Source organism: Homo sapiens, chromosome 19, assembly GCF_000001405.40.
Source record: "Homo sapiens chromosome 19, GRCh38.p14 Primary Assembly".
Taxonomy (NCBI): domain Eukaryota; kingdom Metazoa; phylum Chordata; class Mammalia; order Primates; family Hominidae; genus Homo; species Homo sapiens.
The window spans coordinates 42,562,396-42,578,682 of record NC_000019.10 but is presented as its reverse complement, the minus strand read 5'-3'; the positions used below and the strand labels follow the sequence as shown (position 1 = coordinate 42,578,682).

Sequence of the window (16,287 nt, the reverse complement as noted above, 5' to 3'; positions counted from 1 at the left end):
GTCTGCTTAAAACAAGAAGTCCTCTTTATGTTCACATAAATTTATATGCACTTTCTCTTAACTTACGCATACCAGTCCCAATTCTGCCCTGTTAATTCATACATGCACTTCCGTATTTCACACTTCTTCAGTCTTTCTCTTTACAAACTATAAACAAGAATAGTACTGAGACAAAAATAATAACCAGGGCTACAAGTGGGGATTCCTTTAGCAAAATGAATGTTTTCCTTTAACAAGATGAATGTTTTCCTTTGACAAGATGAATGCTATGTGCAAGGCAGCCCTGAAGCCCTTTTCTGTACTTGGCTTACATCAACGCCATTTGAGTCTACGACACATTTTTAGACAATAATTGTGACAGAAGCCACACCCATTCTGGGTATTTCTGCTGTTAGGTAAAGGCATTTTCACAGAATCTTGTGCATGAGCTACTGCTCCCCAATCCTTCCACTCCTGAAGTTAAGCTGCTTCTGCTTAACCATCTTCATCTCCGGTTGGCCTGCTAGGACCCTGGCTAGAAAATACCCCCTCATCCTACACGTCCAGGGTGGCACCTTTTCCTATTCCCATAATCATAATAGTTTGCACTGACTTAAAACTCAGTATGTGCCAGGAACTATCCTAAGATCTTTCCATGTAGTTAACATCTTCACAAAAATTCCTGGATGTTATCCCCATTTTTACAGATTAAAAAAATGAGGCAGGCTGGGCACGGTGGCTCACAACTGTAATCCCAGAACTCTGGGAGGCTGAGGCAGGTGGATCACAAGGTCAGAAGTTCAAGACTATCCTGGCCAACATCGTAAAACCCCATCTCTACTAAAAATACAAAAAAAATAGCCGGGCGTGGTGGCAGGCACCTATAGTCCCAGCTATTCGGGAGGCTGAGGCAGGAGAATGGCGTGAACCCTGGAGGCAGAGCTTGCAGTGAGCCAAGATCGTGCCACTGCACTCCAGCCTGGGCAACAGAGTGAGACTCCATCAAAAAAAACAAAAAAACAACAAAAAAAAAACGAGGCAGAGAAGTAATGTACCCAGTATCACACACCCAACTCCATAATTTAACCTCATCCTCCACTTCATCTGGGAAGAGGATACCCTGAGATTTCCAAGGTCTCCTGAATGACATACACCTTCCAGAATGATTTTTGCCCCCTCTACTTTCAGGATTTGACAAAGAGCCAGCATTTTGTTTTCTGTCTCACCCTTCACTTATGTACCTGTTCCCTAATGCTACACTCACAACTGCACAGCCCTGCATAAAAGCTAGCTTTGAGGAATCTCAGTCTCTTTTGGAAAAAAACAGAGCCAGGTTCCCAGTCATTATAAAGTCAGTTTTACTCAATTGTCAACTATTTTTACAGCCTTTCTCTGGTCATAAAAGGAGTTCCCTATGAATAGAAAGTGTAATGGGAAGGAAGTAGGAGAAGGGTGAGTTCCCATTATGGCCACAAAGAGGAAAAGATTCCAAATCCAGTAGCAGTCATAAAACACACCCAGAGTGGGTGGCTCTGAGAAATGACAGTCCCATCTGCCTCTTTTCATGCCTGTTGGCCTCTGATTTCCTTCTCAGCCTGTTCATCCTGGCCTTGCCTTCTTAGGCTAATACTAATGGCCTGGAGCTGGGGCCAGACCAGGGCACACGGCACTGAATGAGGAGAGGGAGGTAGAGGAGGCAGAAAGGGAGAAGAGTGTTTGACTCGTGGGGACCTGATTCACCTAGGTACACATCACCTGGGCAGCAAAGGGATCAGTGAAGGCCTGTGCAAGACTCATGGTGGTCATCCAGAATGATTGACTGAGGCAAGGGTCTTGACCAGTTAAGGTTTATTGAGCCAGAGCTTGAGGGTGCACCCTGGGAAAACATGAATCACAGAAAACCTCTGTGGGTGTGTTCTCTCTGAAGAGGTTGCAGAAGGCTTAGTATTTATATATTTCCTTACAGGGGGGAAGACAGGTAGAAAGAGATGGGATAGGTGGAAGAATAATTGATCTCATTTTGCCTTTGTTCTGTGCCTGGGAAGATAAATATTATCAGAATAAAACTTAACAGGCTTTAGTTTTAGGAGCTAGATTTTGATTGCACACCTGAAGTTATAATTGACATGCCTTGTTTTATGAAACGCTATACATCTTGAAAGATTTTGAGGCCAGCAAAGAACTATTTAGAGGGCAGTCATCTGGAGATCCCTGAGGCTTTTTGCCTTCCTGTTGCCCCAACCCCGCCTCCCACTTTTTTTTTAAGAAGCAAGGTCTTGCTCTGTCACCCAGGCTAGGGTATAGTGACATGATTGTAGCTCACTGCAGCCTGGAACTCCTGGGCTCAGGAGGTCCTCCCACATCAGCCTCCTGAATAGCTGAGACTACAGGCATGCACCACTGCACCCAGCTAATTTATTTTAGTTTATTTTTTGTAGAGATGTGGTCTCATTTTGTTGCTCAGGCTAGTCTTGAACTCCTGGCTTCAAGCGATCCTTCCACCTTGGCCTTTCAAAATGTGAAATTACAGGCCTGTGCCACCACACCTGCCCACCTCCAACATTCTTCTATATCTTTCAGAGAAATTACTGTTAAATACATGACTTTGTGGCTATGTTTCATCTGATCTTACATCACTATGAAGGCTCATTCCTAGGAAGTCATCTCCCATGGAAAAGGGGGTGAAGTCAAATCAGAAAAGGACCAAGGACTAATTACAGCAACAACAACAACAACAAAGTATAATCCTGGAATCCAACTGAGGATACACAACTGCCTCCTCAATTAGAGCAATTCTTTGGGCCATGATCACTAACACTTTCAGTTGCATGTTGGCTCACCTCTAATGTCTACAGCAGTCTATAGACTCATTTTTCTTTTTCTTTTTTTTTTTTTTTTTTTTTTTTTTGAGACAGAGTCTGGCTCTGTTGCCCAGGCTGGAGTGCAGTGGCGCGATCTCAGCTCACTGCAAGTTCCGCCTCCCAGGTTCACGCCATTCTCCTGCCTCAACCTCCCGAGTAGCTGGGACTACAGGCTCCCGCCACCACACCCAGCTAATTTTTTGTATTTTTTAATAGAGACGGGGTTTCACCGTGTTAGCCAGGATGGTCTCGATCTCCTGACCTCGTGATCCACCCACTTCAGCCTCCCAAAGTGCTGGGATTACAGGCGTGAGCCACCACGCCCAGCCTATAGACTCATTTTTCTAGAGTCTCTGAATCATCTAACTGCAGTGACAATCTCACAGATTTCTCTGAATTTCAGTACAAATCCAGTATTCGTGTGACCCTTTCGTGTAGTCCATGCATCAACGGGCACAAAAGTTGTTTATATATAAGTTGCTGTGACTTCTCCAAAAGTTCACTTAACTTGTCTAGTTTCAGTTTGCAGGGCTTGAAGAAAAGCACAGTTTTAATTTCTAACATTCCAAAATGGAAGAAAATCTTGAAATCATTACTTTTGATATTTATAGCCAGGAAAGAATTTAGGATTCAGTCCAAATTATAGGCAAATAATAAAACTCAAAAATAATGAACAAGCCTAGAATTTAATAACAGTTGTATTGAAGTTTTCTTTTGAAACACAAATTTTTCTCTCTCCAGGCTCCCATTTTTATGAAAGACAAATCATAGCAGGACAAATGTATTTGCTAAATAAGTTTTAGTCTTATACCTGGCCTGATTATTTGCATAAAGTATGGCAAGAATAGTGGTTGGCCATAGAGAGTCTTTTTAAATTGGCTTTGCTGAGACTTTTTTTCATAAGGAATCTCAGATTAGACTTCCAAAAGCATCTCAAGGCTATGCAAGCCAGTAATTTATCTGTGCCTGTAGATACCTGCATGAATTTGGTGAATTCCTCTTTTCTTGAGGTCTCAAAATAACTTGGGGGTTCCTGGGCCTATCAGAAAGTGACATTCTTTACTTACCACAGATCATTAACTTTTTATAGAAACTGCATAGACAAGGTAACCAGGTCAGTCTGTCCAAGAGGCTTTTTGTCAGTTCTATAAAGTCAATCTCAATTCCTCAAAGCATTCTGGTCATATCTGAAAATATACCATTTCACTCAAAGCCTCTATAAAATAACCAATGTCTCCAATTGTGTCCTGTTATAAAAGAAAACAAATTCTTATGGAATTTATGCAAATATCTATATTGCCATAAATTAAGAATATGCACAAATAGTTTATTTTTGTAGAAATTGGGTAGAGAGAAAGATAAATCTTTCAAATTTAGCTCACAAAATTATACTTTACCCAATTTGTTGTAAGCTAAAAAGCTCAAAAGAAAAAAAAAAAAAGCTTTTTTGACTCTGGAGAACAAAACATAAAAAAAGTCAGCAATGTTTTTTTTTAAAAAAAAGGTCATGAAAAAATCATTTTAGTCCTGTATCAATTTATCCTCATGTAATTAACTCTTGTTCTGCTTGATGTTGGGTTAGCAATCATCATGAATGCATTTTTTTTAACTAAAGTCCTGGGTTTTTTTTCCTAGTCCAGTGACATGAGCTCCACAGTTATGAGAAGCCAACATTTAAGAGTACTTGTAAGAGTCTGTTCCACAAATATACTTCAAATGTGGTTCGAGGACAGCAAAAAAACAATTTGTGAGGGAGGTCATCCAGATATGCCTAGGGCCTTTTCATCTTCTCCTGGGGCTCTGGCTAATGTACAATGCTTTGACACAAGGTTGTAAAGTAACAGTTGTTCATTTGGGGAAAAAATGGTGGTCTTGCATGACTCAATCTCCAGGCTGAAGTATCCCTTTGGTGTAATGAGTTTGGCAGTCCTGAGGTGTTTATTTTCCTTTACATAATTTTAGAAGTTGTACTTCCTTGATATTGTCTGACTGAGAACAAAGGGATGGGTGTGGAAGGCATCACAGCTTTCTCCCATTTACAATCCCATTGTCATTCCCTTCTTCCTCTGTTGGGTTACATTCCTCTATTGATAGATAACTTATTTACTGAGTTGTTTTCACAAAAATCCAAACGTCAGTTGAACTTCTTAAAGTCCTAAGCATTCAGTTCAGTTCAAGGCTATCTTAGTTGAAGGATCTATAGAAAATTTTGATAAGAAAGTTCACACCACCCGCAATACCTTTGGAACCACTGAGCTACAGGAATGAAGAGGAAGTAATCTGCTACCTGCTGGGGACCTTTATGTTTGTACCTCATCCAATGCTCACAATGACCCTTTAAATAGGCACTATTATCCCTCTATTCCAAGACATCAATTAACTTGTCCCTTATCTCACCTGATAAAAGGTGGAACTAGGACTCAGACTCATATTTCTGAATCCAAAACTCATGCTTCCAGCAAAAGACACTATCAACAGAGTAAACAGACAACTTACAGAGTGGGAAAACATATTTGCAAACTATGCATCTGACTAAAATGTAATATCCAGCATCTACAGGGAACTTAAACAAATTTACAAGAAAAAAAAATTCCCACTAAAAAGTGGGCAAAGGACATGAACACATTTTTTTTTTTTTAGTGCAGTGGTGCAATCTCGGCTCACTGCAACCTCCGCCTCCCGAGTTCAAGAAATTCTCCTGCTTCAGCCTCCCAAGTAGCTGGGATTACAGGTGCCCACCACCACACCCAACTAATTTTTTTGTATTTTTAGTAGAGAAAGAGTTTCACCATATTGACCAGGCTGGTTTTGAACTCCTGACCTCAAGTGATCCACCCACGTCAGCCTCCCAAAGTGCTAGGATTACAGGTGTGAGCCACTCTGCCTGGCGAACAGACACTTTTCAAAAGAAGACATACATGTGGCCAACAGCATAGGAAAGAAAGCTCACTATCACTGATCATTAGAGAAATGCAAATCAAAACTACAGTGAGATACCATCTCATACCCGTCAGAATGGCTATTATCAAAAATGTCAAAAAAAAGTAACATGCTGGCAAGGTTGTGGAGAAAAGGGGGTGCTTATACACTGTTGGTGGGAGTGTCAATTATTAGTTCAATCATTGTGGAAAGCAGTATGGCAATTCCTCAAAGAGCTAAAAACAGAACTACCATTTGACCCAGCAATCTCATTACTGGGTATATACCCAGAGGAATATAAATCATTCTATCATAAAGACACATGCACATGAATGTTCACTGCAGCACTGTTCACAATAGAGAAGACATAGAATCAACCGAAATGCCTCTCAATGGAAAACTGCATTTTTAAAATGTGGTACATATACACCACAGAATACTATGCAGCCATAAAAAATAATGTGATCATCTCTTTTGCAGGAACATTGGTGGAGCTAGAGGACATTATGCTCAGCAAACTAACGCAGAAACAGAAAAACAAATACTGCATGTTCTCACTTATAAGTGGGGCTAAGGCCGGGCGCAGTGGCTCACGCCTGTAATCCCAACACTTTGGGAGGCTGAGGTGGGTGGATCATGAGGTCAAGAGATTGAGACCATCCTGGCTAACACAGTGAAACCCCGTCTCTACTAAAAATACAAAAAAATTAGCTGGGCATGGTGGCAGGCACCTGTAGTCCCAGCTATTCAGGAGGCTGAGGCAGGAGAACGGCGTGAACCTGGGAGGCAGAGCTTGCAGTGAGCGGAGATCGCACCACTGCACTCCAGCCTGGGTGACAGAGAGAGACTCCGTCTCAAAAAAAAAAAAAATTAAATTAAATTAAAATTAAAAAATAAGTGGGAGCTAAATGATGAGAACACATGGACATAAAAAGGGGAACAACAGACATTGGGGCCTACAAGAGGGTGGAGAGTGGGAGGAAGAAGAGGAGCAGGAAACATAACTACTGAGTATTAGGCCTAGTAGCTGGGTGATGAAATAATTTGTACATCAAACCCCTGTGACACAGGTTCACCTACATAACAAAGTTGCACATGTACCCTGAACCTAAAATAAAAGTTTTTTTAAACCACAACGAAATTCAAACATCAACAATTTAATCTCTAATCCTTCTCCAATGAAAATTTTAAGATTTTTTTAAAAGAAAAACTTTTAATGAGCAGAATAAATTGATTTTTTTCTAAAATATAATATAATGAAATAAAACTCATGTTTCACTCCACACCATTGTACCTGCAAGAATTCAAAGAAAGGAAAGATGACTGCTTCTAACAGAAATAAATATACAGGCTTCAATGAAGAGACAGGGTCTGAAATGGGCCTTTAGGACAAAGAACAACTCAGGAGGCTGAGAAGACAGGCAAGGGTGTGATATGAAGAGGGAAAAGACTTAGAAAATGTTTGGAAATGAGAAAGTAAAATGTGGGTCAGGTCCTTCAATGTAAATCAAGGGAGTAGATTGGGGCCGGGCTATGAGGGCTCTGAGTGGCATCCTAAGGAATGGGAACTTCATCCTACAGATAAGAGAAGTCACTGGAAAGCTCTGAGAAGCTCACAAACGTGACAAACAGCATTTCCAGGAAGATTACTCTACAATATTAGGCAAGATAACTTGGGAAATGGTCTTCAAGTCTGGCAACTTAATAGAAATATCTAGATTTCTTCTCCTTTTTTTTTTCAAACTTTTCATTTTGAAATAATTTCAGACTTTCAAAAATGTTCCAAAAATACAGTCCCCATATACTTTTCACTCAACTTCCCCAAACATTGTTTTAGATAACCACAGTGCAAACATTAAAATCAATAAATTATCGCTGACATCATACAGTGAATGAATCTGCAGACTTTATTCAAATCCTCTTTATCTTCCCTCTAATGTCCTTTTTCTGGAACAGGGTCCAATGTACAATTACACATTGCATCTCATTGTTTTGTCCTCTCAGTCTCCTTTAATCTGGGACAGTTCCTCAGAATTTCTTTTGCCTTCATGACCTTAACATTTTTGAAAAGTATTGGCGTTGTTATTTTGTAGTTACCCTCAGTTTAAATTTTTCTAATTTTTTCTCATGATTAAACTGAGGTTATACACTTCGGTCAAGAAAACCAAAGAGGCGATTTTGTGCCTTCTCCATCCATTATATTAGGATGCCCTAAGATGTCGATATCTCTAATTAATGGGATGTTAACTTTGAGCCCTGGGCTAAAATTCCTCCACAATAAAATGACCGTTTTCCTTGGAAGCATTCTTAAACAACCAATGCCTGGGCACACAATGCACCAATCCAGTCAGACATACTTGGGGAAAGCACAGACATTGGTACATTTTAAATGCCCTACAAGTTACTCTAACCAGTATCCAGGAATGGAAACCCAAAGTTTAGACAATGAAGATTAGAATCCTGGATATCAGCTAAGAAGCCATTCCTTGGGCTGCTCTTTTCAAAAAGAACATCCAATTCTAGACACAATTAAACACATATGGACTTTGGCATGGACCCCTGGTAGGAAAATGAGAAGGTTAAAAATCCCCTCACTGGGAACATGATGAGTGAGTAGACTGCTGTCTAATAAAAAGAGAAGGCAGGGCCGGGAATGGTGGCTCACACTTGTAATCCCAGCATTTGGAAGAGGCCAAAATGGCTAGATCACTGGAGCCCAGAAGTTCGAGACCAACCTGAGCAATATGGTGAAAACCCATCTCTACAAAAACAGACAAACAAATAAACAAAACAAAAAATTAGCTGGGCATGATGGCATGTGCTTGTGGTCCCAGCTAACAAGGAGGCTGATATGGGAGGATCACTTGAGCCCAGGAGGTGGAGGTTGAAGTGAGCTATAGTCCACTACACTCCAGCCTGGGTGTCAGAGTGAGACTCTGTCTCAAAAGAGAAAGAGAGAGAGAGAGAGAGAAAGGCAGGGCACTAAGTAAAGTGACCAGCCCTCCTGGCCTATTTTCTCTCCAGATATCAGAAACCCTGGCTTCAGTAATAGTGCACACCCATATATTTTATCCTCATAAGCCTAACATGAACTCCTAATTGCCACTGACAGGGACAGAATTATGAATCATGTGATCCAAATATACGACCACACATGCAAAGATGCACACTTCCACACAGAGTTGAATGAACAATTGATAGACTCCAGATTGAAAGTACATGACCTCCCTTAAACAAACCTGTCCTCCCCATTTGGTCCTTTGTCCTTAATCTCTTCTGAATCTGTTGTAAATTTTATGAAATAGGAAAGTGTACACATCTCCTGCCACCAAGCTGTTTAAGTTAGAAAATACTGTGCTCAACTTCCTTAGAGTTATTACCTTAGGCTTTCCATAAAGGGATATCATCAATAACCTCCTCAGAGGGGCCACCTGATAAGATGCAAAAGAAAACGCCAGTTTCACCAAAACCCAGAGGCAGGAGTGACCCTGACAGGAACAAACCCTAAGGTATTCACTTGCCTGCCCAGGGTCTGGTGCAGCTGGCGCAGGAGGAACTGCTGCTGGCAATAGCTGAAAAAAAAAAGAGATGGTAGCTCTAACACTCAGGGGGTAGTAAGAAAGGAGCTCACTCAATTCACCTTCAGTTTTCACACAGCCAACACCCTTCCAGCCTCCCTATGGGGTCTCACTGGGACATAATTAAATGCCAATACATGGGTGAAACAATTTATAGAAGGGTGGGATCAATTGGGTCAGAAATGCTCATAAGGCCGGGTGTGGTGGTTCATGCCTGTAGTCCTAACACTTTGGGAGGCTGAGGCGGGCAGATCACTTGAGGTCAGGAGTTCGAGACCATCCTGACCAACATGGTGAAACCCCATCTCTACTAAAATACAAAAAAAAAAAATTAGCTGTGCATGGTGGCATGCACCTGTAATCCCAGCTACTCAGGAGGCTGAGGCAGGAGAATAGCTTGAACCCAGGAGGCGGAGGTTACAGTGGGCTGAGACTGCGCCACTGCACTCCAGCCTGGGGGACAGAGTGAGACTCCGTCTCAAAACAAAACAAAAAAGAAAAAAGAAAGAAAGAAACAAATGCTCACAAAAGAGACAGGGTTCAGGTTAGGCCTTGAATGGTTCAGCCTTAGGAAAGCAGAGACATGGAGAAACATAAGCCAGGGAACCAGGTGTCAGGCACCACTGTAGATGCTAGTTTTTTTTGGTTTTGGTTTTTTTTTTTTTAATTATACTTTAAGTTCCAGGGTCCATGTGCACAATGTGCAGGTTTGTTACATATGTATACATGTGCCATGTTGGTGTGCTGCACCCCATTTACTCGTCATTTACATTAGGTATCTCTCCTAGTGCTATCCCTCCCCCTTCCCTCCACCCCACGACAGGCCCCGGTGTGTGATGTTCCCCACCCTGTGTAGATGCTAGTTTTAAAGAGGGTCCGAGGAATGACAGTGGGCTTGCAGATGTTATTTTATTTACTCTCTCAATCAATACATGAAATTATTTCAGAGGAGGATGCTCATCCTCAGAAAGGGGAAGTAACTTGCCAAGGTCGGTGGTGGGTATGGGATTAGAAACTCGGTGAGTCTAACACCAGAGACCATGTAACCACCACTACCATTGAGGGACCTGAACGAAGTATGTGTAGGGAACAGGAAGGAGCAGGGAGAGCTAGAGCAGAAAGAGTCAGTTAAAAAAACAGGGAAGTTATGTAAGCTTGCTAAAGGGGGAATCACATGTTGTAGAGGCATGAACAGTAGACACCGAGGTTCAAACTTGATCTTGTGATTATAGAAGAGCCCCTCAAGGTTTTGAGGAAGGGCAGACCCAGTCAAAGTGAAACCTTGAGCCAAGATCAGTGGGTGGTGGAAATGGAGTTCTGGGTTCCTAAGGTAAAGAGATGCCACCAACAACAGTGTAGGGGCCACGTGATGCATGAAACGAGAATTGGACGGAGAAGCTGAAGCCCTGGGTTTAAATGCAAAAAGTCATGCAGTGAGGGCATAGTTATGGAAGGCAAGTTATATTCTCTCTCTGTAGTTTGGTCTCTCTTCAGCCATAAATCACATGGAATGAGAATTAATCTCTAAATGACCCTCAAGCCTTGCTACTCAAAGTGTGGTCCACCAACCAGCAGCAATGACATCATCCAAAAGCGCCTTAGAAATTGAGAATCTCAGGCCCCACCAAAAGAATCCGAATCTGTATTTAATCAAGATCTTCAGGTGATCCATGAACACATTAAGATTTGTGAAGCACTTCTCTCCAGTGTCTTCCAGTTCTAAAATGCAACTATTTCACACTCAACTATGTCACCTCACAAGAGAAAAATAATAATGAAGTTTACCTTTCACCTCATTCATGACCTTTTCTTAATCCTAAAAGCCTCTTAGGCTTGCCCACATTCAGGTAGAGGTTTTAGAAAACACCAGAGAGGGCCGGGTGCGGTGGCTCACATCTGTAATCCTAGCACTTTGAGAGGCCGAGGCGGGCGGATCGCAAAGTCAGAAGATCAAGATCATCCTGGCTAACACGGTGAAACCCTGTCTTTACTAAAAATATAAAAAATTAGCTGGGTGTGGTGGCACGCACCTGTAATCCCAGCTACGTGGCTACTCGGGAGACTGAGGCAGGAGAATCGCTTGAACCCGGGAGGCAGAGGTTGCAGTGAGCCGAGATCGCACTACTGCACTCCAGCCTGGGCAACAGAGTGAGACTCCGTCTCAGAAAAAGAAAAAAGAAAAAAAAAAGCAGCAGCAGCAGCACTGCCACCTTGTGGCCATCATTAGTTAATGCACTTAACTCCTGGGGTAAAAGAGGGGATAGGGCTGGCAGGGGCAGCCTGCCAGAGGTAGTTGGTGAAGTCCAAGTCACGGACTGGATAAGAGAATCACAGCTGCCCACATGACTGAAAGTAACTGTCATAGAGAGCTCAGCCTGCATCATTGAGCAATGTCCCATTGCAAAGGACATTTTTTTAATATGTGATATCAGTGGAAAACCACATTCCTAGCCAAGCTCTGCCCTTGTTAGCTTAAAAATCATTCTGAGAGGTATTTTCAGACACCCAGCCCTGGCTTGAATTCTGCCAGTAAACTTGTAATTTTCCAAGGAAACTTCCTTTACTGTAACAGTTCTTTTTTGTCTTGAGTCAAAAGGTGTCTGATTCACACTCACCAATCCTCATCTTACTCTCCATAGGCTGAAATAAGTTTAACATCTTTTCATACAACTGACCTTCAAATACGGGTAAACCATCCCATGCACCACCCACCCAATCTTCCCTCGGCCATTTCCCATATAGGGTCACCTGAAGCCCCACACCCTCTGGTCACTTTCCCATGGTCAAGTGAAGTGCAGCAACCACAGCAGACACTCCAAATCCTAGGGGTGTTCCCCAGAGCAGCAGAGCCCCAGGACCCCCGTCCCTGTCCTGGCACCTCACCCCTATCTAGAAGCCAAATGCCACATCAGCTGATCTGGGGACGCTGACTTTTCCTGCTTCTGCTGCTGCTCAGTCATCCCACACCTGTGCAGATGTCTACTTTTTATTCTGTTTTATTTTGTAAGAAATATTTATCGGAGGGCGGGGCGTGGTGGCTCACGCCTGTAATCCCAGCAATTTGGGAGGCCGAGGCGGGCGGATCACGAGGTCAGGAGATCGAGACCATCCTGGCTAACACGGTGAAACCCCTTCTCTACTAAAAACATTAAAAAAAAAACATTAGCCAGGCATGGTGGCAGGCGCCTGTAATCCCAGCTACTCGGGAGGCTGAGGCAGGAGAATGGCGTGAACCCTGGAGGCAGAGCTTGCAGTGAGCCGAGATCATACCACTACACTCCAGCCTGGGCATCAGAGTGAGACTCTGTCTCAAAAAAAAAAAAAAAAAAAATACTTATCGGAGTCTGCTGTGTACTGTCACTGGAGAGACAAAGGTGAATCACACCTGGTCCCTGCCTCACAGAGCTCCAGGCTACAGATGGAACCCACTCAAAGTCAGACCATTACTATTCAGTGACAAACATGATGACAGACATCAACACAGGATTTTCTGACCCATCTCACCAATGCCCTGTGAAATACCTTCCACGCTTGGTTTTCTGGGATCAGTTTTCTTCATTTCAAGCTCAAAGTGAAAAAGAGAATTCAAATGTTCCCGATGGTCCTCTGTGCAGTCATAGCTGGACCCGGCATGTCCTCCTGGTTAATCCAGGGTGCTCAGGGCTCCCACTTCACTCTGAGCGTCCTCGCTCCTATCGGAGCTCACCATGTCTGCACCTGCAGCAGCCAGGTGGCTGCACACTAACAGAAAATCCAGCAAGTCAGAAAACTTGATTTACTCCTATAACTTTGAGGCTAGTGACCTTGTGACATTGAACTAGTCCTATGACTTGCCTGCACTTTAATTTCCATGTCTGTAAAGTGGGGCAGGTGCATTCGGTCACCCTAGGTGCAGCTATATAGTGAAAGCTCCTCAGAGACAGCAGCACATCTGATCTTCTCAGCATCCACCATCTAGCAAATACCAGGCACACACTAGGCGCTCAAAGCCTCACTGAATGTGTGTGTGAATAAATGACTATATGAGAGCCATGTGGATCATGGACAGAGTCAACAAATATTTTTGAACGTCTACCAAATACACTGCAGAATAGGGAAATAAGCAACCCAGACAGGACACTGTTTTCTCCTAACTTCCCCTGACCTCCTTCCTGGGGGAGGGAGGGCCTCTGTACATCAGAGAGACTCTTGACACAAATAATGTTCTTGAAATGCATTATAAGAAGTTGTCATGTTAACAAGAGGAAAGTCCATTTGTTTTAGAGGTGTTTTAATCAATGGATCTGAGGGACCCAAAGCCCCCTGTGATGAGACACAGGATGTGATACCCACCCCAAGTGCATGGAGGGGAAACCAGATGGAGTGAACTGACAGGGAGCAGGACCTGGGAGAACAGGGGGGTAAAGAGATTGAGGGACCCAGAGGAAGGTCTGAGGAGGAGCTCCCGGCCCCTGTGGTGGCCTCGGTGTGGACTGATGCAGAACTCAGCAGCATAAGTAAAGCGGCCGCACCAGGCTCCATGTGTACGTGGGATCGCTTTTCAGTAAGATTTTCTTTCTGCTCATAGGCTGTACTTTCACACATTTTCTAATACACAGGCTGCACTTTTACATATTTTCTAACACATCAGGCCCAGTTAACAGGTTACGAAACGATCATTCCATTCAACAGTCAATTATAGAATACTCCCAAAGTGCCAGGCTCTATGAGTTCAGGGAATACAAAAATGAACACAAACAGCCCCTACCCTCAATGATCTCCATACAAAGAGCTCCAAAGAGTGCCTCTCCTACAACACACCCCTGCTCCACACAGCCGTTCTCTCTGCCCTCCACCAACCCAAATCCTACCCTGCCCTGTGAGGCCAGCTCAAGTTCCACCCAACTCGGAGTCCCCCATGCACTTCTGCCACTTTGAGAGATTACTGCACTCATATCTCTAGGCTTTATAAAGTGGATGTCATCTCCCTCATTAGACTTGAGGCTCCTGAAGGCAGAGATTATTTTTAGAATTTTCAAGAAAGAAGTCACATCAGTGGTTTGCATCAGACCACGCTTAGGCCCTGCCTGACCCTTCAATTCACACACAGGCTCCACTGCCTAGCACAGTCCCTGGCCCCTGCACGTGCTTTATAACCCCTGCAGTAGCAAAGCCCACAACCAACTCTGTGACAAGGCAACAGGCTGGGATAATTTGAAAACACAGAGAGAAGAACTGTCAAACAAAAATCAAAGGGCTTTGACTCATGGCTTGCCTCTTCCCTCCTCTCAGGGAAACAAAATCACGCCACCTGTTCTCACTCCTGCCTCATTCCAGGCCTCTTCATATTCCATGATGATCCTTGCCTATAAATAACAATTCCTGTGTTGTGAGCCAAATAGTGATTTTCCATTTCCACCACTCCTTCTACATTTATTAACTGGAATTCTGCTACAAGAAAAAGCTATTTCTGCTTCCTCATTTATTTAATTTATTCAATTATTTATTTATATCAGCATGGATTCATGGGTATTTATGAACTGGAATCCATTACTATCATTATTTATTATGTTGTTCATATTGTCCCAAAATTGACCATTGAGAGTTCCTTGGAAATCTGTGACCTTTTGACACATCCCCACCATTTTTCGTGCAGTTCCTTATTTTCTGGCCCCACAAGGAGCTCCAGGTTCCTCTATGCTTTCCTGACCCAGCCCTGGAATCAGCTATTTCTCCAGGGAGCCCTGGTTCCTTTCATGGGAGAACGATGTTTGCAGGCCATCGGCACTGATAGGCCCACGGTTAGAAGGTGCTGGTGCTTCTGTGCTCTCTAGTGGTCAGATCTGGGAAATACACACTCACACTAGTTTACTGTTACCCACATTTTAGAAATTAGGTAAATGAGGCACAGAAAAGTTACACAACTTGACCAAAATCGCAGAGCAAATAGATAGTAAAACTGTGACATGAAAATAATGACAGATGCACCACAAGTCCTAACAAGCGAAAAAGTAACTTATCACACATGTACATTACCAGAAAGCCACAAGCCCAATATTCCAGCATAGACACTCTCTCTGGAAAATAACCAGAATCCCACAGCAATAACCACAATGATAACCATCATGTACTCAACAACTGCCTGGGCACGGGGCTCCCACAGCAGCTCACTTATTCCCAACAACTCTGCAAGGTGGATTTTACCATCCTCCTTTTACAAATCAGGGAATCAAGGATCACAGAAGCCAAGTGACGTGTCCAAGTTGACATAGTTAAGTGATGGAGCCAGTAATTGACCCCAGGTCTATCTGGATATAAAGTGCATGCTTATGCCACTGTATCAGCGTTTCCCAAAACTGATTTTAGGTGAAAGTTAAATAAGCTGTTTTTTAATTTTAATACTCATGTGTTTATTTTAATGCATGTTAGAAAAACATTTAAGCACACATCAAATCTGTAATTTCATGGACAATACTGCATAAGACAAGGATGTTTTGTCTCCAACTCCTGGCCTCAAGCAATCCTTCCACCTCAGCCACTCGAGTAGCTGGGATCACAGGTGTGAGCCACTGTGCCCTGATAAACAAAGATGTTTTGTAAACTAAATTTATTTAGAAAAAAATAGTATGGGCTGGCCACGGTGGCTCATGTCTGTAATCCCAGCACTCTGGGAGGCCAAGGTGGGCAGATCACTTGAAGTCAGGAGTTCAAGACCAGCCTGGCCAACATAGTGAAACCCCGTCTCTACTAAAAATACAAAAAATTAGCTGGGTATGGTGTCGCATGCCTGTAATCCCAGCTACTCGGGAGGCTGAGGCAGGAGAATCGCTTGAACCTGGGAGGCAGAGGTTGCGCATTGAGCTCAGATCGCACCATTGCACTCCAGCCTGGGCAACAAGAGCAAAATCCCATCTCAAAAAAAGAAAAATAGTATGAAGTAAATAATAAATGTGGAACAAGCTGTAGAGAAA

At 43.0% G+C, this 16,287-nt stretch overlaps 1 long non-coding RNA gene across 2 annotated transcripts in view; it reads right to left on the bottom strand.

Annotated features, from left to right (window-relative positions):
• Positions 1 to 16,287, bottom strand: part of LIPE-AS1 (LIPE antisense RNA 1) — a 255,208-nt gene that overhangs the window by 73,673 nt on the left and 165,248 nt on the right. The window lies entirely within an intron of this gene.